We start from the raw sequence: 26,648 nt of genomic DNA on the forward strand, positions 1-26,648 counted from the left end.
GGCCCGGCCCTGCCTGCCCCTTTCTGCACCCCTCTCAGCCGTGCTCCACTGCCCCACCACTTGCAGTCCCCAGAGCAAATGGTGTCATGTTGTGCCTCCAGGCCTTGTCTGAGCTGCTCCCTGTACCTAGAATGCCCTGACTCCTTTTGCCACCTGGTGGATGCCTACTCGTTTCTCAGCACTCAGCTCAAACAGCTTCTCCAGGACGCCTCTCATTCGTTAATTCCACAGCACTCACCAGGCACAAGTACTGTGCAAGGCACTGGGGTTTTCCTAAACCTTTCCTGACATGCCTCTCTCTCCTGGCCGTGGTAGAAGTGGCCAGTCCTCTCCTCTGAGCGCAGGAGCCCCCTGAACACCTTGACATTGATACCTGCAGAGCTTAACTGCTCTTGACTTTTGTAGATGTTTGTCTCCCTCACAGACCATGAGCACCTTAAAGTGGGGACCTGAAGCTTCTTTATCTTTGTATCCCCAGTACCAAGCACAGAGCCAAGTACACAGTAAGGGCTCAATAAATGCATGAGTGAGTGAAAGAATGAAGAACCTGACAGAACGCACCTTATAAACCATGATAGGGGCCAGGCGTGGTGGCTCACACCTGTAATCCCAGCACTTTGGGAGGCCGAGGCAGGTGGATCACCTGAGGTCAGGAGTTCAGGAGCAGCCTGGCCAACATAGTGCAACCCCGTTTCTACTAAAAATACAAAAATTAGCCGGGTGCGGCAGCACACACCTGTAATCCCAGCTACTCTGGAGGCTGAGGCAGGAGAACAGGAGAATCACTTGAACCTGGGAGGCGGAGGTTGCAGTGAGCTGAGATTGCGCCACTGCACTCCAGCCTGGGCGACAGAGCGAGACTCTGTCTCAAAAAAAAAAAAAACGTGATGGGGAAGGTCACGACTGTTGTGGTTACAGCTACTTTTCTTTTCCTCCATAACTGGAGAAGTCAGATCCTAAATGCCACGTGTCAGCACAGCCTCCTTGGAGAGATGGTAGAAGAAATCTTGTTGAGCCTTTCCACCACCTCTAGTGCAAGTGGAAGAGGGGGTCACCGAGTGGCTATTGGCTTCTAAGTTGTTCCAGAGCATGTGCTATGGGGAGGCCACAGAGGAAGCAGACACATCTTGCTGGTCGATTCCTTGCAAGCTTCTTATAGTGGCCTGCAATGGGGAGGCTGAGGAGGGGACATGGAGGGCTAGGCCCTTACTGTAAAGTGTCTGCTGCACATGGGCACTGCCCTCTCCCAGCCCCACACCAGGGCTGGGTCAACCCAAGCACAAGTTTTTCATCTGCAATCCTGGATGATATAACTGCAGTTTAAAACCTACTCCATGGATCTCCTCTCCATCGCACTCTGCCCATTTAGTCTAAGAGCCTTTCATGCTTAATCTCATATGATGATTTCCTAACTTACAGCACCCATGACCTTCTCATGAGACACAGGACAATGGAATCTGTTCACATGTTCATTTAACTTATGCAAATTCAAATGGTCAAGCTTAGCAGAAGACAGAAGACAAAGGAAGACAGGAGGAAGGAGGAAGTTAGGGAGGTAGGAGGAAAAGGAAAACAAACAAACAAAAAAACAAAATAGAACAAGAAGAAATAGCCGGGCATGGTTGGCGCATGCCTGTAATCCCAGCTCTTTGGGAGGCTGAGGCAGGTGGAGTACTTGAGGTTAGGAGTTCGAGACCAGCCTGGCCAACATGGTGAAACCCTGTGTCTACTAAAAATAAAACAATTAAAAAATTAGCCGGGTGTGGTGGCGGGTGCCTGTAGTCCCAGCTACTCAGGAGGGTGAGGGAGGAGAATCACTTGAACCCGGGAGACGGAGGTTGCAGTGAGCCTAGATTGCACCACTGCACTCCAGCCTGGACGACAGAGCACGATTCCATCTCAAAAAAAAAAAAAAAAAAGTGCAACTTCTTCCAGAACTAAAGGAGCAGGCTAAGGTGAATTGACGCATCAAGAGCCAGTGTGTCTGTTGCCTACCTGGTGCCCTCCTAATATATAATCAAGGTTAATCTTGATTACATTCTTTTATTTTTTTTTAATTTGTTTATTATTATTATTATTATTTTTTTTTTTTTTTGAGACGGAGTCTCGCTCTGTCGCCCAGGCTGGACTGCGGACTGCAGTGGCGCAATCTCGGCTCACTGCAAGCTCCGCTTCCCGGGTTCACGCCATTCTCCTGCCTCAGCCTCCCGAGTAGCTGGGACTACAGGCGCCCGCCACCGCGCCCGGCTAATTTTTTGTATTTTTAGTAGAGACGGGGTTTCACCTTGTTAGCCAGGATGGTCTCGATCTCCTGACCTCATGATCCACCCGCCTCGGCCTTCCAAAGTGCTGGGATTACAGGCGTGAGCCACCGCGCCCGGCCTATTATTTTTTTTTGAGACAGAGTCTTGCTCTGTTGCCCAGGCTGGAGTGCAGTGGCACCATCTCAGCTCACTGCAAGCTCCTCCTCCCGGGTTCACACCATTCTCCCGACTCAGCCTCCCGAGTAGCTGGGACTACAGGTGCCTGCCACCACGCCCAGCTAATTTTTTTGTATTTTTTAGTAGAGATGGGGTTTCACCGTGTTAGCCAGGATGGTCTCCATCTCCCGACCTCATGATCCACCAGCCTCGGCCTCCCAAAGTGCTGCGATTACAGGCGTGAGCCACCGCGCCCGGCCGATTATATTTTTATATTTCATATTACACACTGACTTTAGAATCTGAACCTCAGAAAACGCCACTCCATCAAATTATACTCTCCCAGTGACAGATCCACTCTCAGTTCTTCCCCCATCCCACCCTCTTCCACTTGCTCTAGAGGTGATGGAAAGGGTCAGGATTTCTTCCACCATCTCTCCATGGAAGCTGTGCTGACCACAAGCATTTAGGATCTGACTTCCCCAGTTATGGAGAAAAAGAAAAGTGGCCATAGCCGTAACAGTAGTGACCTTCCCCGTCATGGTTTATAAGGGACTATTCCTCGGGTTCTTCATTCTTTCACTCACTCATGCATGGGTATGACCTATCTCAGGAGCTAGGCTTGAAGCCTCCTGGGGGTAAGGAGCATGTGGCACTCTGCTTTCCACACTCACATGGTTGACAGCACTGCAGCTGTTCCACAAATGGCCGGTGAGGACAGTTGGCCCTGCATTAACTGGCTGTTCAAAGAGTGCCATGCCTGTGTTCCTGGGCCTTCTCCTGCCTGTGTCTTGGGAACTGGGAGCATTCCTCTGTCTTCTTGGTGTTGTTTAACCCATGTTCTGCACTTAGAAAACAGTAAGTAATCTTGTTGGCCAACTGAGCCTGGGTAGGAAACTTTGGGGGCTTTGATAGCAATTAAGATCCACTAAGACTACAATGAGATAATACAATGGTAAAAGCTATTAAATACGCATCCCACTCTCTTCTTAAAGACCTCTTCTTCACCCCTAGTTTTTTTTGTTTTTTTGTTGTTGTTGTTGTTGTTAAGTTTCACCTTTTTAAATCTTTGAGTACTGCCTTAGGGAAACTGAGAAGATGGAGTCCTTGGTTTACAAATAGACCTGCTGAAACTGACGATTATGATGACTAATTATCAATGCAGGATGGCCAGTGGAAATGGAGAATGGGGTTTGTGCCTGACTCTTCCATTCAACAGCTGTGGGAACTTGGAGAAGGAACTTATCCTCTCTAAGCCTCAGTTAAAATGAGAGTTAGCACAGGTTTCCTTCCAAGCTTTAAATCCTTAACCATGGGATTATCGGAGATGCTGTTACTACAGTTACTATAAAACTGGGGCTGGATGATAACAGTCCGTAAGATCCTATCCAATTCTAAAAGTTGATTATTTTGTAAAATAGCACATCTGAAAAAATGTTGATTTATTAAACTCAGTTTATACATAACTTTTCAGAAATATGTAAATCCCAGTTTCACCCTTTTATGTTTATTAAGAACTTTCAATTAAAACTGACTTCAGGCCAGCCGCGGTGGCTCATGCCTGTAATCCCAGCACTTTGGGAGGCGGAGGAGGGCAGATCACCTGAAGTTGGGAGTTCGAGACCAGCCTGACCAACATGGAGAAACCCTGTCTCTACTAAAAATACAAAATTAGCCAGGTGTGGTGGCGCATGCCTGTAATCCCAGCTACTCGGGAGGCCGAGGTAGTAGAATCACTTGAACCCGGCAGGCAGAGATTATGGTGAGCCAAGATCGTGCCATTGCACTCCAGCCTGGGCAACAAGAGCGAAACTCTGTCTCAAAAAAAAAAAAAAAAAAAAAACTGACTTCAGGCCAGACACGGTGGCGCACGCCTGTAATCTCAACACTTTTTGAGGTTAGGGAGGCCAAGGCGGGTGGATCACCCGAAGTCAAGGGTTCAAGACCAGCCTGGCCAACATGGGGAAACCTTGTCTTTACTAAAAACACAAAAATTAGACGGGCGTGGTGGCAGACATCCATAATCCCAGCTACTCAGGAAGCTGAGGCAGGAGAATCGCTTGAACCTGGGGTGCGGAGGTTGCAGTGAGCCAAGATCACACCACTTCACTCCAGCCTGGGTAGAGTAAAAAACAGGAATCTACCAGATTCTATTTTTAAATAAAACAAAACGTTAAAAGAATCTAGCTTATACGTGCATTTTATAGTATGTGAATTATTTTTCAAAAAAGAAAGAATCTGGCTTATGAGGCAAGGTTGTGATTAACAGCATGAGGACTGGCTAAAGGCAACACAGTCCTCCTAGCCAAGTCCAATGCTAGGGTTCAGCCAGGATCTCCCCAAAACTCAGTTTTATAGTTTAGCCTGGTTTTGTAAGTTCAACACCTATTTGGGCAAAACAAGCATGCGGCCAACCAGGAAGCCTCACTTTGCCCTCCTCACAGTCTATATATATATATAGATATATGAAGAGAGAGAGAGAATCTCTGTCACCCAAGCTGGAGTGCAGTGGCATGCAATCCTCCTACCTCAGCCTCCCAAGTAACTGGGACTACAGGCACGTGCCACCGTGCCTGACTAATTTTTTGCATTTTTTTACAGAGAAGGGGTCTTGCCACATTGCCTAGGCTGGTCTTGAACTTCTAGGCTCAAGTGATCCTTCCGCCTCAGCCTCCCAAAGTGCTGGGATTATTGGCATAAGCCACCGCACCTGGCTGTCTTCACAAGTCTTGCCTGCAAGTTGGTCCTACCTCCTTCTATCAGATTGGTTCCTCAGAAGGTCAGGCCAACCCAAGTAACAAACTATCTCACCTCAGAGCCAGAGCAGAGGTGTAGGGCATCACAGGGCAGGCTGACTGGGACAAAAGGAGCCAGGGCCAAAGCTGGGAAGATACTGACAGTCAGGAAAGAGATGCTGGAAATGGAGCAAAACAATGAGGTGCAAAGCCAGGAGGAGCCTGAGGGCAGCTAACAGGCAGAGGAGGCAGGCTTGGCTTAATGCTCAGAATTGAGACCAGGAACCACGGCCTTTGGTGCTTGGCTTGGGTGTCCAAGTGGACGAAATCTGATGGCCACTGCTCTTTGTATCAGCATCACAAAACATTTATTGAGACTTGCTATGAGTGGGGCACCAGACCTGGGGATACAAAGATATATAAAACAGGGCTTCCAGTTTAGTTGAAGAATTGTAGTATTTATTCACCCAAAGGCTCATTTAATTTGCTGAACAGGGGATATGATCAAAGTCATGGCCCAAAAGAGAAAGTGAAAATTCTTAGACCAGGACTCAAGGTTTTCCTCAGCACAGGGCCCAGGGTGATGTTGCTGGAGTCCCGGGGGAGGCCCACAGGGTGGGACAGGGAGAAATTCTCAAGGAGGAGGACACAAACAGGACTGGAAGGGGAGCAGGACTGAGCCAAGCGGATGAGAGGAAAGAGGCATTCCAGTCCTCTGGGGAAGCATGGGAGGTAGGAATTCTTGCCATCAGTGGTTTGGACAAACACACAGAGTGGGTCACCGGGTCAGAGCCGAGGGTTAGGACGGGAGAGGAGCAAAGGTCAGACCCCTGTGGAGAAGGGCCCTAACTGCCGGCCTAGAAGTTTGATCCTTACCATGCAGACAGTGGGGAGCCATTGAAGGTTGCTGAGCAGGAAGGTGACCCTTGCAAAGAGGCATTTTAAGTGAGATTACAGAGCAGGCCTTTATCCGAAGCTTATTCAAAGCCCTGTGTGTATTTCAAGTGGCACTTGAGACAGAAAGTCGTAAAGCGTTTGCCCTGTGTCATGCAGACGAGAAAGAAGAAGGTTTAAGGGGCTCACAAAGAGATGCTTCAGTGAGAACAAGAAATGAAGAGGGGCACATTTTAAAGAAGGAAACAAATCTGCAGGACAGAACTGCCAGCCGTGGTGTCTGGAAAACTGTAGCGTGTTCTTAAGCGACTAGAATGCCCTCTTTAGCTGGGGGTGTTCGGCCTCCTTTTTTGGAGGTGGGTTGTGATGTCAAAACACTGGGTTGTGGTATAGGAAGTGGGGCAGCTAGGAAGGGGCAGATTAATGGAAATAGCAATACTGGGCCTGGGCAGCCTCCCTTTGAAGACCACCCTCTCCAGGAGACTCCTGCATTGGCTTCTCTCAGTGGCACCTCGGGGTTTCCGCCAGAGTTGCTGGGTTGCCTAATTACCTCCAATATTTTTTCCTCTTAGAACAATAAAACTGGTTTTAAAATCTCTTGTCAAGTTTTGAATCAGCGCTTTTTCACTGTTGTTCCTAATTGTGCATGGCGAGGCAGCAGCCAGGGCTGCTCAGGAGCCGTGAACTAGGCAGCAACTTCAAGTTAAAACCACCATTTAGGTAAGGTGAAGGAGGAAGTCAGGGTTATGATTCTGTCTCTGTGTAACAACTTCGGGGCAAGCTCCCTGAATGCAGAGGCAAAGCTGAGCAAGCCAGGGAAAGGGCCTGAGTTATGCACAAAAATCTGCCATTGGGAACTGAAGGTGAGGGGCCTGCATGTGGCTCCCGCAGCTCCCTGGAGCCTGGCTTCCTTCTTTCTCTGGCCTTTACAAGAGGCCCCTCCCCTCCACTCTCCCAGCTACACTCTGGAGGGCTTTTGGGGCACTTTTAGTCTCTGTAAATTCTACACGAACACAAAGCACTGCAAACTCAAAGCTTTGGGATCAGAAGGGAACGATCCCTTCTCCTGCCCCTCAAGACTACAGCCAGGCACCAGCAGGCCTTCATTATGGCAGTCCTGGTCAGGTGATCCAGCTAACCAGGACCTTCACAGTCAAGATCAGTAAAAACCAAATGTCTCTAGAAAAGAGGGTTGTGCAACCTGTGGTGACTCCTACCATAGTGCTGCTTTTGCTCAAACCTCATTCCCCTGTGGCAACTGTAACCATACATGCCAGACTTTCCAGAACTGTCCTGATTTTACATGTTTGTCCTCGAGTTTCTGGAAGCACACAGGTACCTGCCAGGGACTGTGCCCTAATCTTTTGGTTTGACAAACGGTCACTGTGCCCATGACACACACCTGGCACAAGGCTGCAAAACAGCATTTTTCCTCCAGGTGAAGCTCAGATACTTGGCTGGAAAGGCCAGGCATTGGAGAAACTCCAGTGCACTGGAATCATCAGTACCTGCCACTCTGAGCAGAGAGGCTGCCCATGCCCAGCATAAGGTGGTACCACCTAGCCACACAGCAACGTAGCTGGGCTGAGTGCTCCCCATGAGCGTCTTCTGCCTAGGACAGGGAGTTATCAGGTTGAGATTTAGAATGTGAAAACGATGGCCCTGCACAAATCCAATACACGCCTTTTTTACTGTGTTTTAAATCTCTCTATACAATTATACCCCTGTAAGGCCCTCAACAAGACACTGTTTGCCTTCTTTCCATACTTGCAGGCTTGGCTCCCTTCCTGCAAGGCAGCATGGCAAATGGGAGGATCCCTGCTCTGGTCTGTGCCACAGTCCCTGCTAAGAAAGTGGGCCTAGGGTTCCTATGGAGAAGGAGGAGTCACTCCTCTGCCCCTCCCAGACCCAGACCACCAGCACAGACAAAAGTGCTACCACTTGCACGTTTCCTCTTTGCCCAGCACAATAAAGGAATTAGGACCTACCACCTACTAAGTTTCTGCAGCTGACACTTCCAGGCTTAAAGTCTAGCACGCCAGCTCAGTCACACATGGTCTGACGAGTCCTCTTTGCAACTCAGCCCCAACCCAGCCACCCGTGCAATTTTGCTAATTCAAACAGCTTTCCCGTTTAGAGAGGTTGATAGCCATCTCCCATCTCCTTTTCCTACTGACGTCATCCCACATTTTCTCCGGAGACAAATAAGGGTAGAGTTCCTGGGATAGTTTTCAGGCTGCCTAAGATAGGAGTGCAGTGGCCTCCCGAGTCCACCCCACATCTCAGGCTTTGGACAAGTCGTCAAAAGTGAGAGGGAGGTAATGAAATAAATCACCTAGCTAGGGTTAAAGGGCAAAAAGAATTTGGAGACTGCAGCTCAGACCCAGATCTATCCTGGGCATTTGCAGTGCAAAGCTGCGTTTTCTTCGCCACTACCGAGGTCTTGCACAATAGCCTGTGTATAAACATCCACGCCAACAATGCCTGACTGTGCAATCACGCTGTAATTACAGGCCGGCAGGAAGCTGCTGCTAGGAACTGCACCATTCAACCTCTAGGACACCCCATCTCGAGTCTCCACGGCTCGGACGCACTTTCCTGCACACACCAACGTGTCCCCGCCGCCGCCGCTACAGTTGCAGTCTCGCCACTGGCCCGGGCCGCCAGCCCCTAGTTACTCTGCAGGAATGTCCCAAACTTCTCAGCTGTTCTTTAAAAAACCCTGCGCCACGAGGCTACCGAGGGCGACGGGAACCACCGTCAAAGTTCCTGCAGCACATTCCTGCAGCCCTTGCAGTTTTAGGAAACAGAAAAGAACGAGATGCCACAGAGTCCGCTGGAAGCGGGTTTCTGAGTTTTATATAGAAAACACTCACATATGTACGTGGGTGTGCTGACAGTTTTTATGGCTAAATTGCAAAGTGTTAGGCCTTAGCGATCACTGTCAGGTTTGGGACATGGTTGGGAAGGGTAAAGGGGGAGTCAGGAGCGATTCATTTCAAGGGGGCTTGGGGACAATTCCGGTTTGGTTTTCTGAAAATGCGTAGGGTTGTTTTCCCAAACTTCCGAGCTACTCTGCTCTTCGTCCCAGGAAGGCCAAGCAAATAAAAGTCCGGGGAAAGTTCCTTTAACTTCCTTCCTGCGCCCTCGACAAGGGCTGCGAAGAGGAAGAGGTCATTTCCCAGGGAAGCACCGGGCAGGGGCCGAGAGCTGCGCCCAGCCTGCAGGGATGGAGGCGCTGGGCGGAGGGCTGGCTGCAGACGTAGGCCCCGGAAAGCCCCTTCCCCCCACCCTACCTCAGGCCAACGGCGCCTGGAGCTGGCCCCGCTGCAGCCCTTGCTGTTTGAAGTCCCGCGGCAAAGCGGCGACAACACCGGCGCAGCCCGGCGCCCCGACCCCGGCCGCCGAGCTCCCTCCCTGCAGCACCCCGGCACCCCAGCGCCCGGCCCAACCCGGCCCGCCACATCCGCGCCCGCGCGGCCCAGCCCGAGCCCCGGAACGATTCCGAGCCCCACGCCGGCGCCCGGTGGCGGGAGGGGGCGCCGAGCCCGCGGCTTACCTGCGTGCTGGATCCCCGGGCTGCTCGGAGGGGTGCGGGGCGCAGGCGAGTGCGGCCCGCAGACTCTAACTTTGTTGCTCTCGGGACGGCGCAGTCGTCACTTCCTCGCGGAGCGGGCGGTGCGGCCCGGGCTGTGCGGCCCGGGCTGTGACCCAGCGGCTCGCGCGGTGGCGCGCAGGGCCCTGCAGCCAGCCGCCCCGCCCGCGCCCCCGGCTCCGCGCGCCCCTGGCCCCAGGCGCCGTCTCCCCACTCTGCGCGCCCTCGGCTGCGGGGTAGCGGGCAGCCCTGCGCTGCCGGCCGCCTAGCCTGCACCCCCCGCCCTGGGAGGGAAGCCTCGCTCCAGCCGCGTCGTTTCCGCGCCGAAGTGCGATCCGGGGCCCCGCGCTGGAGTCCCCTGCTCTCAGGCTGGTCTGGAAGGTGGTGGTGGGGTTCAGGGTCCCCGGAAAGCTGGGGTTCCAGGGTAAACACCAGTACACAAACAAAGCGGTGGGGGAGGGGAAAGAAAAAGTTTTTCCGTTTGGTGTTGGGGCTAAAAGGGTCATGTCAGAAAGCAGTGTGCTCTATGTGTTCTTAATGCCTAAAGTGGGCCTTAAAACAAGGGTCCCTGTCCCCACGTTCTCTCTAAAAGTCTGCATGATGTCCCTCGTCATTTCTACGGGTTATAAGTGAGCAAGACGTTTACCACGTATCACACTTCTGGGGGCTATTTCAACGCCCAAGCTGGGGCTGCAGAATGGTTTCTGTTCTAATCCTCCCCCGCGATTTCCACCTCTTTACACTCAACTCACAGAAAATAGAGTCTGATGCATTCTGTGTTTCATCACCGGTCAAAAGTGACTTTGAGGGTAGGGTGGAGGCCTGAGAAGGGCAGCTTCAGGCAATAGTAATCCTGAAATTTATCATTGCTCAAAATAAATGTGCTCACCTTATTAAAAAGTACAACGGAAAGCCACCTTTAAGATAAGTAGCAACCAAGTCGTTAAACAGCAGTCTTCAAGGAAGAACTCCTGATCTCATAAGGCTGGAGAAAAAACGGGGTTAGCCTTTGCTGGTGAAAAAAAAAAAAAAAGACATTCGAAACTGCAGTGAAGGGCTTTCATAACAGAAACATTAGCTTCATTGTAGCTTGTCGTGGAAAACAGGGACCTTTTAATAGGTGGTTCAAAAGCATCAGTTAGGGCTCAACAATTTTCCTTTTTTCCCCAAATACTGCTTCTCCTAGCACATTGGCCAGATAAAACCTCCCCCCTTTCAATGCTTCATCTTTTTATGAAAACACAGGAAACCATAAACTTGAGTGAAGGCTTTGTTCAGAAAGGTGGATGTAAGACTGATGGAAAATGACATTTGGGAAATGATCCCCAGGTCTGTGTTAATCTCTCATGGAAAGCCACAGACTCACCCAAAGATAGGCGTATGAAGATCGAAGCTCTCCTAGCAACATGAAATCCTCCACGTTGCAGCTGCTACGCCCTAGTTCTGATTTTTACTAAGACATTAATGGCACATTATAAATACAAAATGTGCAATGCAAGAAAAATAATACTGCTTTGAGAAATAACTGCATCATTAGACTCAATAATTAAAGTTCCCTGAAATTCTTCTTACATCACGCTATTGTGGGGAGATGGTGAAGGGATTGCCCATTTCAATTTTGGAATAAATAGAAGTAATTCCTTAGTGCATTCTGCTTAAGGCAACCAATGAGAGAATATGTTAGCCAGGCTTCTAAAGGCAATCATGTGATACTCCATATTTGCTAAAACAAGAGCTGAATATTTTTTTTGTTCCATATGCAATTCCAAATTTTCAGTCACAATTTCATGAATATTCAGTATTTCTGCATGCCCAGGAGTAATTAGCAGACAGTGTAAATGTGTGAAGGCCTGACACTTACACATACATTGCTTTTTTCTCTATGTAAGGTGGCAGTTGCTGGAGTACCAGGGCACCAAGTGGAGGATGTGGTAGACAGCCTCTAAGATGCGCCCCCTGCCAATGATCTCTGCCTCCAGGTATTCATACCCTTGTATAATCCTCCCTCCTTAAGTGTAAGCTGAATCCATTGACTGAGTTCTGACAAATAGAATATGGCCAGTGATGTGATCTTACTTCTGAGACTAGGTTATAAAAAAAAAAAATGCGGCTTCCATACTGGGTCCTCTCTATGCCTTTCACTCTCTGGGAACACTCACTGTGGGGGAAGCCAACTGCCACGTCCTAAGGCAGCCTGGTAGAAAGGGAGCTAGGCCTGCCAACCACCGTTTGAGGGAGCTTGGAAAGGGATGCCTCTCCTTCCCCCCATGTTAATCAAGACTTCAGATAAGACCTTCAACCCCAGCCAACAGCTGAAGGGCCTCCCTCGGGCCCTTCAGGCAGAGGCACCCAGCTAAGCTGCCTGGATTCCTGACCCACAGAAACTATAAGATAATAAATGTTGTCTTAAGCTGCTGTGTTTTGAGGAATTCATTACATGGCCACAAATAACAGAGACCAGTAGAGAATCATTGGGGACCCAGTGACAACCCTGCACAGCCTTCCTGATAGAACATGGAAAGGAAAGCAGGGGCCAGAGCCAGATCTAAGCATAACACAAACCCCAAGAACAGAAGGCCGAGCTCTCAGTCCTTTTGCAGAGCGAGGGTCATTCTTGAATTTAAACTAGGTCGGGGGTGTGGACTCCTGCTTGGTCCCAGGCAGCCCTGGTATTGGGTGTCACCTACCTGACAGCACATACAGATGTCTTTGTGTCACCAGAATTGACATCTGTCCAGGCATCCTCTTCCTCCTCCTCCAGGCATTTACCCTGATCCCTGAGGGCTTGGCCCAAACAGTGGCTGTGGAGTCAGGGCTTTGTCCTAGAAGGAGAGTTGGCAAGAAGGGCCTTCAACCCTGGCAGCCAGAAGGGGTAGGCGATTTTGGTTGGGGTGGAGGGTCAAAAAACTAGGAAGAAAGGCTTGTGGTCCTGCTGTTGAAGAGCAAGTCGTGGACTATCTCTGATAAGGATTACCTCCACACTGCTGCCAGGGCGAGGGAGAACATTCTGTCCACGTGATGGTGTCTTTCTCTCAGCATCATTTCCTCTCTGGCTGGAACAAATTATTTACTTTTAAAATATAAAACAAAGTTTCAGGAAGCAGGAGAGATGTCATACTCCATCCCTGACCAGGGCAGGAATCTACTTGTGATTGCCCCCACGGCTCCCTCCCTTCAGTCAATCCAGTACAAGCCAGCAATTGTAGAGGCCGTTTCTGTTTTCCCTCCAGAGACACTAGGCTCTGATTTTTCTCATGTGCAGTGGCCGCAGCTGCTGTGTTGCCATGCCGTCATCCGGTTGCTATGACTTGTGAGGTTGTGGATGTGCCAGAACGTGAATCTATTAATTTAACAGGAACTAGGCTCAGCACATATATTCCTTGTTAGGTCATTTGCTTTGCTACCTAAACCACATCCAATGTGTTCAGCAATGGGCATGTTTCCTAGAGTCTGGCTTTGCAAGAATGCCAAATGCCCCAAATTTTGAGTCTGCACAGTCAGTTTTATATAATTAATTTACTGCGAAGGACAGAAAGGCATTCTAGCATGGGGATGCAAGCACATCGTTTCAGGGAAAAAAACCAAGGAGGGGGAAATGGTTAAAGTCGCTGGTCCTAATTCTTTATGCATTTAAGTCTTCTCTGCAGGAGGTGTATATACTCCTCCCTGAGCCCAGGTTGCTCACCACCAAGGTCTGAGCTCTCCAACACCACGCTAGGCATCGTGTGCCACCATAGAGGGAAATACCATCCTTTTCTTTTGTGTTGAGCACACAGACAAGCATTGTCTTATTTTTTTATTTTTTTTATTTTTTTTTGAGATGGAGTCTCTGTCGCCCAGGCTGGAGTGCAATGGCATGATCTCAGCTCACTGGAACATCTGCCTCCTGAGTTCAAGCAATTCTCCTTCCTCAGCCTGGGAAGTATCTGGGTACTTCCCAGTAACTGGGATTGCAGGTGCCCACCACTACGCCCAGCTAATTTTTGTATTTTTAGTAGAGACGGGGTTTCACCATGTTGGTCAGGCTGGTCTTGAACCCCTGACCTCAGGTGATCTGCCCACCTCAGCCTCCCAAAGTGCTGGGATTACAGGCGTGACCACTGCGCCCGGCCCAGACAGGCGTTTTCCACTCACTCCTTCAGTTAATGCTCACTGGGTGTCTATTACTGTGTATGCTAGGGATGCAGAGATGAAAAGGACAAAGTCCCTAGTGGGAGAGAATGACATACATTGCAATGCAGTATGAGAAGTATTTGAGTTGAGCTTTGCAGAGAGCACTATGAGATCTCAGAGAAGGGGGAAAGTAAGTCTGAGGAGAGGGGTTATGGGTCACCACCAGGGTGTTTCTTTTTACAAAAAGAGAATATATTAAAAATTAACTGGATGTATTGCATCAAGTAATAATAAGTATTGTTTTGTGTAGCATTTGTTTCAGTTAGGTACTATATATGTACATTCGTGCAGTGTCAGAATGTAAAACAAATTTCCTACATTCAGACAAAGAAGTGTGAAAGTTCTCGGTTTAGAGAGTGATAAATAAGGCCAGGTGCGATGGCTCACGCCTGTAATCCCAACACTTTGGGAGGCCGAGGCGGGTGGATCACCTGAGGTCAGGAGTTGGAGACCAGCCTGGCCAACATGGTGAAACCCTGTCTCTACTAAAAATACAAAAATTAGCTGGCCGTATTGGCACATGCCTATAATCCCAGCTGTTCAGGAGGCTGAGGCAGGAGAATTGCTTGAACCCGGGAGGCAGAGGTTTCAGTGAGCTGAGGTCGCGCCATTGCACTCCAGCCTGGGTGACAAGAGCAAGACTACATCTCAAGGAAAAAAAAAACAAGAGAGAGAGAGATAAAGTGATAAATAACTACCACACACTGAACGCCTTTGATAGGCCAGGCATCAGGGTGTTGGTGTCCCACTGTATAGCTGAAGGGGTTAGCTATGATTTAAGAGATTTTCCAAATCCTTCCAGATTCTCCCTCCTTAGTAAAGCAAAGGCCATGCCTGAATGACTAGCTCCTGGAGTCTTCTCTTAGCAGAGCAGAGGCCGTTTCCACCAGAACAGCAAGGCCAACTCTAATGTAGAGACAAAGAAAGCCCTAAGATAGATAGAGAGAACCTAAGATAGAGAAAGCCTCACTCCCTTTCTGGCCTGCTGGGGGGTGGGAAGGGTAAGGAGAGAGAAGAGGGTCAGAAGGGTCTCATGCTTGTTCCTCTTCTCCAGGTCTTGGATGGGGTCTAGACAGATGCACTACTTAATAAGTGGTACTCCGTACACAGAGGGGGCTCTCACCCAGCTCCCCACTAGAGACTCTGGGAGGAACTTGTATCCAAGGCTGTTTTATGCTCAACCAGGGCAGCCATGCCAAAGTGAACCTGGCAGTGAGAAAACCTGAGCAGGCAGAGAGAAGCTGTGAGGCTGAGCTCTCCTGAGTCCCCCTGATTCTTGCATGGCATGGATATCATGTTGGGAGCCAGCAGCCTGCTGTGTGTGGGACGGCCCTGATTGGGCAAGGTGACCTTACAGCAAGCTCAGAGGAGGTCAGGGGTCTGTACCACTGAGAACAGAGGGAGAAATGAGCATGAGCATCAGGTTGCAAGGGGGAGGAACCAGTGTTGGAGGGAGAGGTTCGGCTTTGTGAAAGAATGGACCGCAAGTTTGCCTACCAGAGCAGCGAGGCCTGAAGAGTAAGCAGAAACCAAGAGGACAAGGCAGCTTGGTATGGGGGCATAGGAACAAGGATTCAGGATGATCCACAGGCTGCCTGGCTGCAAGACCCATCTCTGCCACATACTATCTATGTGACCTTGGACAGGTTACTAATCTTTTTATGCCTCAGTTTCCTTATCTGTAAAACGAGGATGATAATAACAGTTGTACATATATGATAAGGTTGTTATGATAATTAAATTAGTTTGTAAAGTTCTTACATATAAGCATTCTATAAGCATCAGTTAAACAAGTAAATCATTCACCAGACAATAGGATTCTACATGGATAGCAACATCACATGTCTCCCACACCCTCAAATCGGACTGTCAGTTAAAAATTCCCACAACCAGCCAGGCACGGTGGCTCATGCCAGCACTTTGGGAGGCCGAGGCAGGCGAATCACAAGGTCAGGAGTTTGAGACCAGCCTGGCCAACACGGTGAAACCCTGTCTCTACTAAAAATACAAAAAATTAGCTGGGCGTAGTGGTGGGCGCCTGTAATCCCAGCTACTCGGGAGACTGAGGCAGTAGAATCGCTTGAACCTGAGAGGCGGAGGTTGCAGTGTGCCAAAATTGCTCCACTGCACTCCAGCCTGGGTGACAGAGCAAGACTCCATTTCAAAAAAAAAAAAAAGAAAAAAATTCTCCCAACCATCATCAGCTCAGCTCATGGGGAGGACTGGATCAGTTATAGACTGCACATTTAAGATGTGATCTACATTACGGCCAGGCGCAGTGGCTCATGCCTGTAATCTCAGCACTTTGGGAGGCTGAGGCGGGTGGATCACCTGAGGTGAGGAGTTGGAGACCAGCCTGACCAACACGGAGAAACCCCATCTCTATTAAAAATACAAAAAATTAGCCGAGTGTGGTGGTGCATGCCTGTAATCCCAGCTACTGGGGAGGCTGAGGCAGGAGAAATCACTTGAACCTGGGAGGCAGAGGTTGCAGTGAGCCGAGATCATGCCATTGCACCCCAGCCTGGGCAATAAGAGTGAAACTCCATCTCAAAAAAATATATATAATCTAAATTAAAAGGCTTGACCCTCCCCAAACACAGTCTGGCTGGGAAGACAGACACAGCAAGTCTTTACATTTATTTACCTCTGATTGTCCAAAAGTAATTCAGAAGGGAACTGCAGTAGGCAGAATAAAGATCTTCCCACAAATGTTCATATCCTAATGAATATATTAGGTTTCATGACAAAAGGGAAATTAAGGTTGCAGATGCAATTAAGATTTGCTAATTAGCTGACCTTAAAATAAGGCAGTTATTCAACCAGACTTCCCTTCCCCAAAAAATAAATGCATAAAAAATAAAGCGATTATCTTGGATTATTGAAGTAGGTTCATTGTAATCACAAGTGTCCTTAAAAGTGGAACCAAGAGGCAGAAGAGGAATCAGAGTCAGAGGGAGATGTAATTATGGAAGAATGAATAGTTGAAGACATACAGCATTGCTGGCTTTGAAGATGGAGAAAAGGGGTCATGACCCAAGAAATGCAGGTAGTTTCTGGAAGCCAGAAAAGGCAAGGAAACAAATTCCCTGGAGCCCCAGAAAGGAACACAATCTAGCCAGCACCTTGATGTTAGCCTGGTAAACCTGCATTGGATTTTTGACCTACAGAACTGTAAAGTAAAAAGTCTGTGTTGTTTTAAGCTGCCAAGTTGGTGGTAATTTGTTACAGTAGCCATATAAAACTGGTAATTTGTTACAGTAGCCATAGAAAACTAATGCAGGGATGTCTTCTAAATGTGGTGTTCTCTGTGAAGTGTTTTTGCCAGGTATTAGAAGCCCTGGTTTTCATATAAGAGCCTGAGCAGAAAGTCAAATTAGGTGGGCCAAGAAATGTCCCAGGATGCTGGGTCACCAGAAGGTTTCCAAAGTAACAAGCAACTAGAAAGTCAATGGCTTGAGTCCCAAACTCTGAGACAGTATCCTTTTTTTTTTTTTTTTTTTTGAGACAGAGTCTCACTCTGTCACCCAGGCTGGAGTGCAGTGATGCAATCTTGGCTTACTGCAATCTCTGCCTCCTGCGTTCAAATGCTTCTCCTGCCTCAGCTAATTTTTTTAGTTTTGTTTTTTTTTTTAGTAGAGATGGGGTTTCATAATGTTGGCCAGGCTGCTCTCGAACTGACCTTGAGTGATCTGCCTGCCTTGGCCTCCCAACACACTGGGATTACAGGCATGAGCCACCGTGCCTGGCCCTGAGACAGTATCTTGAAAGTACAGTCTGATTGCGGGCCCCTGGCTTATGGATGAACTCTAATTCACATATTCTTTCTTGAAGCTTCTTCTCAGACTTGTTAGCCTCGCAGGCCACAGCGTGGAGGCCAAGTCTAGAAACAGTTAACAAAAGTAAAGCGGAGTCAGCTGTCCAAAGCTGCTGTGGAAATTCTGTGCATTCAACGACCGCAGGAGCCCAGCAAGCCTGTACAACCACCCAGAGTTTGTAAATCAGTCTTTCACAATGGATAGAAAAACACAAACCCAAGCATCAAGGCAAACTGCATGGCATTTCTGGGACCCAGGTTGGCCACGGATCCCAGTTCTTTCACCCCACACAGGGTGCTTTTTCCTGTCTGAGATAGGTGAATATTTATTGGCAGGCACAGCTCAAAGGTTAGAGCCCACCGCACAGTGGGGAGGAAGTATTTTCACAGTTCTCTGCCAGTAATAAATGGTGGTCCTTGGACATCAGTCTTAGCATAATGTGGGAGGTGTCTTTTGGGTTCATAGGCCAAGAGGTTGCTGGGCATTCCTGAGATTACTTTAGGGCCCACAGCTTCTTTTAGGAAGAAGGAAGTCTTCCTCTTCTGGGTGTGGTAATATCTGGGGATTACAGCAACCAGGTGTGTGACAGTATAGAGTCCATAAGGGGCTGCAGATCTTCAGGGATCTTCATGAACTGAAATTCTTCACGATAGCACCAAGGAACGGTGCATAAAAGCAATAGTTTATGGATTGCTTGGACAGGGCAAAAGACTCCATGATCCCTCTAATTTATCCCCTTTTACTTCCCAATTCCAAGTAGAGTTCTCCAGGAGGCAATGAGCTAGAAGGACCTCTTTGGATAGCCAGTTCTATATTTATATTTATATTTATATTTATATTTATATTTATCTAGAGAAGCCTACCACATCTGCGGGAACATCTGTGGTTCCCATATCACTCTTTTAGAATCACCAGCTAAAGATATCCCACTCAAATGGCCTTTGCCCTGCACCATTGTGCTTGGCCTTGTTTTACTGACATAATTTTTGCCCTTTGCCCCCAGTTGGAGGGTGTGGCCACTGACTCACCTGCCAGGAACTCATTGCCTGAGTCCAGTCAACAGGTTAACTCCCATCTGAGTTGGTTGCAAAGAGCCTGAGGACCTATGGAATGCCACAGAATTCCTCTGTGGACCACATCCCAGGTCCTGGTATGGTTCCAGCAGTATCTATGAGCTCCTGTCCTCAGTTGCTTTGGCCTTTCTTTAGCCTAGGAATTTATTCTTCTCCAGGCAGAGGAATAAAACGAACAGCCATTATTCCTGACAGCCAGAGGCCTGGATTCAAGGTCTTGGTTATAGACGCAAAATATCTGCCTCAGATGTGGACCCCACATAACAAATAACACCTTACTTCATGGCCCATGTAGTCCTCATTTCAGATGAGAAACTAGACCAAGTCAGGAATCTTGGTGACTGCATCATGGTGACTGTTAGATCTTAGCACATTTATTTTAGGTATTGATAAATATGATGCAAGAGATGAATGAACATTCCAAAACCAACTGCAGTGGGGCCACCCTGGGTTCTCCCAGCGTGCATTATTTTCAGGAAGCAGATAACATTTGGGAGGTTATATTCTTTCTCCCAATTGTGAATTTTTGGAGCTTCTAGGGTTTTCTAATAGCTATGCAAAGGAATGATTTGAATTGTCTAAACCCAGTCAAGGCTGTGAATTGAGGGCTGTATACATCAAAAAATAAGACGTGTCAAAATCCACAAGCAAGCCTCCAAATGCTCTTTCCATTACTGAAACCAATAAGAATCAATATAGAACAGAAAGCACTAGTGGACTTGGGCTTCTGGTTCTCCATCTTCCTCACCCTGTGCTTTCCAGTATGGCAGAGAACCATGAGCTCACTTTCCACAGACTGCACGTACATAACACTTGTTGGAAGACAATTCTCCGTGGGTCTCTCCCATGTCTGCATGCCTTGTGAGCGGAGTCACTGCCCTTTGTTTCAAACCAACTTTTTAACAGAGCTGCTTTCCCAGAACAAAGTAAAGCATGCTTACTGTCCATTAGCTAAGATTCTGAGCAGGATGCTTCAGCTCACACCTAGGCAGAGGCAGGAGGACTGCTTGAGCCCAGGAGTTTGAGGTTGCAGTGAGCTATGATTGCCTGGGCAATAGAGCAATATGCTGACTCAAAAAAAAAAAAAAAAAAAAAAGATTCTGGTTCCCCAAGCTTAAAGCTGTGCTCTCTTGTGATATGCTTTGCTGTGTGTACAGATGTCACCTGGCCCCCTTTGCATTGTCTTTGGGAACTGGGACTCAGGAAATGAGCACAAGAAAATGTCAGTATTTTTGCTATTGCTATTGCTATTGCTATGAGCAAATAAGACCTTTTGTTTCAGACACACCTAGAAGTCTTGTGTTTTCTGCCAGCATCCATGAAACTGCGGCAGGCTCACTTGTTAGCCTGCAAGTAGGATAAAATCTTAAACCCTCCACAGTTCTTGACAAGCTCTCATTTCTTTCTCATATAACACACTCCTTCAATCCACCAACGAATTCCCCTCACCCCTGTGATCCTTAAAGCCACCTAGGCAGTTTAGGTCAAGGGGAAACTACTCATGTAGAAGTGAGAACAGACCAAATTAAAGAGCAAGACTGAGGCTAAACCAGGACCTGGTGACAGGGCTGAGATATCCGGAAGTTTGGTTTAAGGCTGAGACCAGAGAAAGATCATTGTAATTCTGGGCTGTTTATAGCTATATTGTTGGTTGTATGTTCCAGCCAATTGACTGACAGGCAATTCTAAACATGCTTAAGAGAACAAACTTATTGGTTTTCTCATCTGTAAAATGAAATGAGTTAGATTAGATTGTTTCTGATGTGCCTTCTAGCTGTAAAATTTATGCTTTATAAATCTGTAACAGGGCTGCCTAGCATACACATTAGGCACTTGACCTAATTTAAAATAATGATTGCAAAGAGGACTATGACGTAGTGGAAAGGACATAGCATTAGCAGTTAAGAAGCCTGAATTCTAGGCTTAGTCTGCCACTACCTAGCTGTGTGACACTGGGCAAGCCACTTAAATTACCTGGAGGAGGCAGGTGGGGACGTAGACTTAAGATGATTTTGGATGGCTCAGAGATGTGGCATTAAATTATATATTGAAAAAGTAATTTTTCTTTTCAGTTCTCTTTTTGTTTTTCTGATTATGTCAAAGAGAGAGTCTCAGGTTAGTGCTGGTGTGTCTTCAACAACTCTTCAATACCTCCCATCCTCCCTTTTTGGCAAAGAGAGAAGTCTCAAGTTCAGATACTTCACAGGCAGTGCTAGCTAGATAGCATTTAATAACATTGCCCAGCTCTCTTTGCTTTATTTTTGTTTTGCCTTCCATTTGTGGCAAATAATTCAAGTTTTCCACTTATAAGAATGATGCAAAGTTTCCTTTAAAAGTAAATTAATTATGAAAATGTTCTAAAATTGATTGTGGTAATGTTGCACAATTTTGTGAATATACCTAAAAAAAAAAAAAAAAAGCCCACTGAATTGTAAGCTTTATATGGGTGAGTTGGATGGTATGTGAATTACATCCCAGAAAGCCGTTTTAAAAAGTAAATTGAGGCCAGGCATGGTGGCTCATGCCTATAATCCCAGCACTTTGGGAGGCCGAGGTGGGAAGATCATTTTAGCCCAGGAGTTTGAGACCAGCCTGGGCAACATAGTGAGATCCTGGCTCTACAAAAAGTCAAAAAAATTAGCCAGGCATGGTGGCATACTCTTCTAGTCCCAGCTACTCAGGAAACTGAGGCAGGAGGCTTACTTTGAGCCTGGGAGGTCTAGGCTGCTGTGAGCTATGATTGCACCACAGCACTCCAGCCTGGGTAACAGAGTGAGACTCTGTCTTAAAAAAAAAAAAAAATTTAAATTGGTATCCTTTTGTAGTTCATAAGCATGACGATTGGCTTTTCACTTTCATGTGTGAGATGTGCCTCACTCAAACCTTGTTATATTGTCAGCACATTACCCATCTGATGTGGAAAAAAAAAGAAAAAGAAAAACATACGTTGGAACCAGGTATGTGCCGGTAGTCCTAGCTACTCGGGAGCCTGAGGCAGGTGGGTCTCTTGAAAAGGCTGTAGTGTGCTATGATCATATCTGTGAATACTAGCCATTGCACTCCAGCCTGAGCAACATAGTGAGACCCCATCTTTTTTTTTTTTTTTTTTTTTTGAGGCACAGTTTTGCTCTGTCACCCAGGCAGGAGTGCAGTGGCACAATCTTGGCTCATTGCAACCTCTGCCTCCTGGGTTCAAGCGATTCTTGTGTCTCAGCCTCCCGAGTAGCTGGGATTACAAGCATGCACCACCACACCCAGCTAATTTTTGTATTTTTGGTAGAGACAGGGTTTCACCATGTTGACCAGGCTGGTCTCAAACTCCTGACCTCAAGTGATCCGCCCACCTCAGCCTCCCAAAGTGCTGGGATGACAGGCGTGAGCCACCGTGTCTAGCCCCATCTCTTAAATAAAAGAGTACATTGATTAATGTAAAAAAGGGACTAATTTAAATAAAATATTAAGTAAAAAATAGTATAGATGGTCAGTTGATATCGAAAAAGTTGTGCGGAAGATGCAAGACTAAAGTTTGGAGAACCAATGCTATGTGATATTGGACATGTTTCTTAAGTCTCTGACCCTGATTCCTGGCCTACCAAATGAAATGGTGATATCTCCCTGGATTTGTTAAAAGGGAGATAACATAGCACAGGAAACCCTCAGCCCAAGGTCCTGCACAGGGATGGCTTCTGATGAAGGGGAATGGTTGATGAATTGACTGAGCTCCCACCCTGGTGCCAGGCCCTGGGCTTTCAAATGTCAACTGCATCCTCACAATAACTCCACTGCAGGAGCTGGTGGTGCTGTTCCCATTCAGCAAGCCCTGGGGAGTAGTTGTTGTTTATTCTCCTTTTACAGATGAATGAGCTGTGGCTCAAGAGAGGTTAAGTAACTTGCCTGAAGTCACAGAGCTAGTGAGTGGCTCAAGGATGAGGTTCAACTCAGACTCTGACTTCAAAGCTCCTGCTCTTTCCCTTTTACCACATTGCCCCCTCTTACCCGACCTGATTAAACAATCTACCTGTCTAGCCTGGGCAACATGGCAAAACCCCGTCTCTACCAAAAATACAAAAAGTAGCCAGGCGTGGTGGTGCATGCCTGTGGTCCTAGCTTCTCAGGAGGCTGAGGAGGGAGGATCACTTGAGTCTGGGAGGTGGAGGTTGCAGTGAGCTGAGATCGCGCCACTGCACTCCAGCCTGGTTGACAGAGTGAGACCCCATCTCAAAAAAAAAAAAAAGAAAAAAAAAAAAACAGAATCCACCTGCCATGGAAGGGGGTGTTTAGGACCAGGGAGGAGGAGGGACACAAAAGGAACTCCATCCGTTTCTCGAAGCTGAGCATCCTCAGTGTGGCTGCCAGCCTGAGGGACCCACCTTCCTGGTTCTGGTTTTCCATTGTCTCCCCTGTCCCCAGCTGTCTGGTGGAAAATTCTCTTTCTTCATCAGTCCCCCAGGGGCTGGAGTCCTTTCCTGCTGCAGGGTCCCTGCCAACTCCTGCTGGGTTTTTCTCCTTCCATCTACTCACTTGTTCAGACTTTGGCCAACTGCCTGGCATTGGGCCATTGCTGACCCTTGACCCTCTGAGGCTCGGCTGGTATCTTGGTCCCCACCAGTCTTCTGGTCTGATGGTGAGCTCCCCTCCAATGAAGTAATCAAACCTAGGCTACTTCTCTCTCATGCCACTGCCAGTCCCCACTTCAGGCCACCATCATCTCCTGACTGGGCATCTAGTGTGCCCTCCAGCCTTGCCTGCCTCCATTCCTTTAAGTAGTATGGTTCAAAGTGAGTTTACTGAGGTACAGCTTGATTAGAAAACTCTCTGCTTATCCTTCAGCATCTCCCCCACTGTCCTGTGGATAAAGTCTTGACTCCTTAGCCTGGATTTTTAAGACCTTTGTGAACCGGTACTTCCTGTACCTTCCAGCTGCTTCTCTCCCCAGTCTTCTCTTCATCCCAGACAAGCCAGTCATTTGATACTGATTACAGTCCCTGAAGGCTTCTAGATGTCCTTGACACACAGTTGGTACTCACTAAATAGTAATTAACGCGCTATGGCCTCTCGCCGCCAGTCTTTGTACATGCTGTTCCCTCAGTCTGGAATGCCCTTTCCTCCCCTATTCTCCCAATTCTGCCTGATTGTTTTGGACTCTGCTCACATGTGATCTCAAGGAAGCCTTCCTTGCCCTCCCATGTCGGGTTCATCTCTCTGTGCTACAGTAATACCCTGTGCTTTCCTCTGGAAGCGCAGGCCCTGGAGTCTAACTTCCTGGATTTACTTACTTATTTGTTTATTTTTGAGACAGGGTCTCACTCTGTCACCCAGGCTGAAATGCAGTGACATAATCAGGGCTGCAACCTCTGCCTCCTGGGCTCAAGCGATCCTCCCACCTCAGCCTCCCAAGTAGCTGGTACTACAGGGGCACACCACTATGCTCAACTAATTTTCTGTACTTTTTGTAGGGACAGGGTCTCGCCATGTTGCCCAGGCTGGTCTTGAACTCCTGGCCTCAAGCAATCTGCCTGCCTTGGCCTCTCAAAGTGCTGGGATTACAGGCATGAGCCACCGCACCCAGCCTGGATTTAAACTCTTGGTATGCTACATGCCCCAGCTGTGTGACATTGGGCAAGTCACTTCTCTGTGCCTCCATTTCCTCATCTGTAAGATGGAATAATAATAATATCTACTAATACGGTTTCTGTAAGGATTATATGAAACAATGCAGCCTCAACAGCTTAGTGCAGATTCTGGCATATAGTGAACACTCCATAAATGTTAGCTATTATTATTCTAGCCTACATCATAATCTATGGTAGATACCAGTTCTCTGCTTTGTCTTCCTCATTCTAAGCTCCTTGCAGGCAGAGAGTATGTCTCATTTACCATTGAATCTCTGGGTAACTCTCTTAGAACCTGACACACATGGTGCTCAATACATATTTATTGAATGGATGAATGAATGAATGAATATCTCACTTCTTGGTTTAGCTCAGCAGACTTTGCCTAATCCTGAAGTTCTTTCTGGATTCCCAAGACCAGTTTTCCTTGCTCTGGCCTGGGCAGGTCACAGCCCAGATCTTGTTTATGACATTTTGATTTCAGATCTAAATAACTGGTCTCAACACAAGACAGACATCCCCCCAGGTAGTGTATAAGAGAAGTCGCTCATAGTTTGGTAGAAATGCCCTCTCAGCACCTCCACCTCCCTTTGCTCTAATTTGTCATGATGAGGCATGGGCAGCACTCACACAGAACAGGTCATTCCTCCTTTCAACGAGGGTTTGCAGGGCCAGGCCTGTGGGGTGCTGAGGATGCCAGGGAAGGTAGGGTATGAGCCCTGTTTCCGGAACTTCCTGAGGAGTGGCTGGCTCCAGATCGGGCTGGCCAGGCAAGGAGACAGGCAGTTCCGGTGCTGGGCACACACAGCCCATGTCAGGATGTAACCAAAGCATGGGACCGGGAACTAGGGCAGGAAGGCAGGACCAGGAACTCTGGTTTGTAGGATCTGGAGCAAGTCAAAGGTGAGGGCAGGAGGTGAGCAGCTCTGAGAGGAGGCTGAGTGGAGCCTAGCAGAGGTCAGAGTCTATTAGGCGAGGTCCTCCCAGGCCCAGCACCATCAGGAAGGAGAGCGCTCCCAGTGCAGGGGTTGTTGTCAGCCTTGTTCTTTTTTTTTTTCTTCCTGTCTCCAGGGAGGAGCTAGAAGGCAGAGAGAAAGCCACTCAGGACTTCCCATCCCAGAAGATAAAGGTGAGGAAAGCAGCAGCAGCAGCCACAGGCCAGTATTCCAGAGCAGCTTTGGGTTCCTGTCAAGACCTGCTTTGAGAAGGAGGTGGCTGTGGGGCTGGAGGGCTGGGCCTGTTCCTGAGCTGGCTGCTGGCAGCACAGCAATGAGGCAACATTGAGAACTGCGACACGAGGCCCAGTCCTGCTACTAAACCAACTGTGTGGACTTGCATAGTCACTTCACCCCTCGGGCCTCCATTTCTCCACTTTGGAAAGCAGTGTTGGGACGATGTTAAGGGTTTGCAACCTTCCAACATGAAGACTTATTTTTAAAAGCAAAACATTTCAAAGAGTCCACATGACAGTAGTGTTCATTTTGGCATCTGTTGATTTAACAAATACAAAATTAGGCTGGGTGTAGTTGCTAACGCCTGTAATTCCAGCACTTTGGGAGACCGAGGCAGGAGGATCACCTGAAATCAGGAGTTCGAGACCAGCCTGGCCAACATGGTGGAACTCCATCACTACCAAAAATACAAAAATTAGCTGGGCTTGGTGGCACGTGCCTGTAATCCCAGCTACTCGGGAGGCTGAGGCAGGAGAATCATTTGAACCCGGGAGGCAGAGGTTGCAGTGACCTGAGATTGCACCACTGTACTCCAGCCTGGGCAACAGGGCAAGACTCCATTAAAAAAAAAAATACAAAATTAGGCATGGTGGTGTTCGTCTGTAGTCCCATCTATTTGAGAGGTTAAGGCGGGAGGATCACTTGAGCTCAGGAGTTTGAGTTTGCAGTGAGCTGTGGTCTGCCTGTGAATAGCTGCTGCAGTACAGCTTGGGCAACATAGTGAGATTCCATCTCTAGTCTTTAAAAAAAGGAAAAATACGGCCGGGCGCGGTGGCTCACACTTGTAATCCTAGCACTTTGGGAGGTCGAGGAGAGAGGATCACCTGAGGTCAGGAGTTCGAGACCAGCTTGGCCAACATGGCGAAACCCATCTCTACTAAAAATACAAAAATTAGCTGGGTGTGGTGGCGCACGCCTGTAATCCTAGCTACTCAGGAGGCTGAGGCAGGAGAATTGCTTGAACCAGGAGGGAGAGGTTGCAGTGAGCCAAGATCGTACCACTGCGCTCCAGCTTGGGCAACATAGAGAGATCCCATCTCTATTTTTTTAAAAAGGAAAAATACAAGGGATACCAGAGCACTGGGCCAGTGCTTGT

General features: G+C 48.0%; 1 protein-coding gene, 1 long non-coding RNA gene and 1 other non-coding gene across 7 annotated transcripts in view, besides 6 other annotated features; 2 read left to right on the forward strand and 1 right to left on the reverse strand.

Annotated features, from left to right (window-relative positions):
• The window catches only part of MIDEAS (mitotic deacetylase associated SANT domain protein), a 75,164-nt gene extending 62,372 nt beyond the window's left edge, over positions 1 to 12,792 (reverse strand). For 2 of the 5 annotated variants that reach the window (NM_001394972.1, NM_001043318.3), the window contains exon 1: positions 9,609 to 9,715. The gene's annotated coding sequence lies outside the window, so the exon portion shown is untranslated. Of the gene's footprint in view, positions 1 to 9,608; positions 9,716 to 10,533; positions 10,630 to 12,331 lie in introns of those variants that run through there. The other 3 variants (XM_005268206.1, XM_047431914.1, XM_047431913.1) reach the window with 3 other exon arrangements.
• Positions 9,312 to 9,901: a silencer, noted in NCBI's record as "silent region_5919". NCBI's record gives its function as "represses an Ori minimal core promoter by ATAC-STARR-seq in GM12878 lymphoblastoid cells {active_cell/tissue: GM12878}" and the evidence as "EXISTENCE:reporter gene assay evidence [ECO:0000049][PMID:35858748]".
• On the forward strand, positions 9,867 to 26,135 carry MIDEAS-AS1 (MIDEAS antisense RNA 1). The gene is made up of 3 exons (NR_109995.1): positions 9,867 to 10,016; positions 11,534 to 11,623; positions 25,392 to 26,135. It is a non-coding gene; the product is annotated as an MIDEAS antisense RNA 1 (long non-coding RNA).
• Positions 9,952 to 10,001: a silencer, noted in NCBI's record as "silent region_5920". NCBI's record gives its function as "represses an Ori minimal core promoter by ATAC-STARR-seq in GM12878 lymphoblastoid cells {active_cell/tissue: GM12878}" and the evidence as "EXISTENCE:reporter gene assay evidence [ECO:0000049][PMID:35858748]".
• Positions 10,082 to 10,141: a silencer, noted in NCBI's record as "silent region_5921". NCBI's record gives its function as "represses an Ori minimal core promoter by ATAC-STARR-seq in GM12878 lymphoblastoid cells {active_cell/tissue: GM12878}" and the evidence as "EXISTENCE:reporter gene assay evidence [ECO:0000049][PMID:35858748]".
• Positions 10,492 to 10,541: an enhancer, noted in NCBI's record as "active region_8718". NCBI's record gives its function as "activates an Ori minimal core promoter by ATAC-STARR-seq in GM12878 lymphoblastoid cells {active_cell/tissue: GM12878}" and the evidence as "EXISTENCE:reporter gene assay evidence [ECO:0000049][PMID:35858748]".
• Positions 18,159 to 19,358: an enhancer, noted in NCBI's record as "P300/CBP strongly-dependent group 1 enhancer chr14:74262355-74263554 (GRCh37/hg19 assembly coordinates)". NCBI's record gives its function as "activates an origin of replication core promoter dependent on BRD2, BRD4, P300/CBP, MED14 and CDK7 cofactors, with strong dependence on P300/CBP, by STARR-seq in HCT116 cells {active_cell/tissue: HCT116}" and the evidence as "EXISTENCE:reporter gene assay evidence [ECO:0000049][PMID:35650434]".
• Positions 20,707 to 20,826: an enhancer, noted in NCBI's record as "active region_8719". NCBI's record gives its function as "activates an Ori minimal core promoter by ATAC-STARR-seq in GM12878 lymphoblastoid cells {active_cell/tissue: GM12878}" and the evidence as "EXISTENCE:reporter gene assay evidence [ECO:0000049][PMID:35858748]".
• Positions 21,522 to 21,625, forward strand: LOC124903424 (small nucleolar RNA U13). Its single transcript, XR_007064407.1, has one exon. It is a non-coding gene; the product is annotated as a small nucleolar RNA U13 (small nucleolar RNA).
• Positions 26,136 to 26,648: the final 513 nt, after the last annotated feature.

The sequence above is a fragment of the Homo sapiens genome, chromosome 14 (assembly GCF_000001405.40).
Source record: "Homo sapiens chromosome 14, GRCh38.p14 Primary Assembly".
Lineage (NCBI taxonomy): Eukaryota > Metazoa > Chordata > Mammalia > Primates > Hominidae > Homo > Homo sapiens.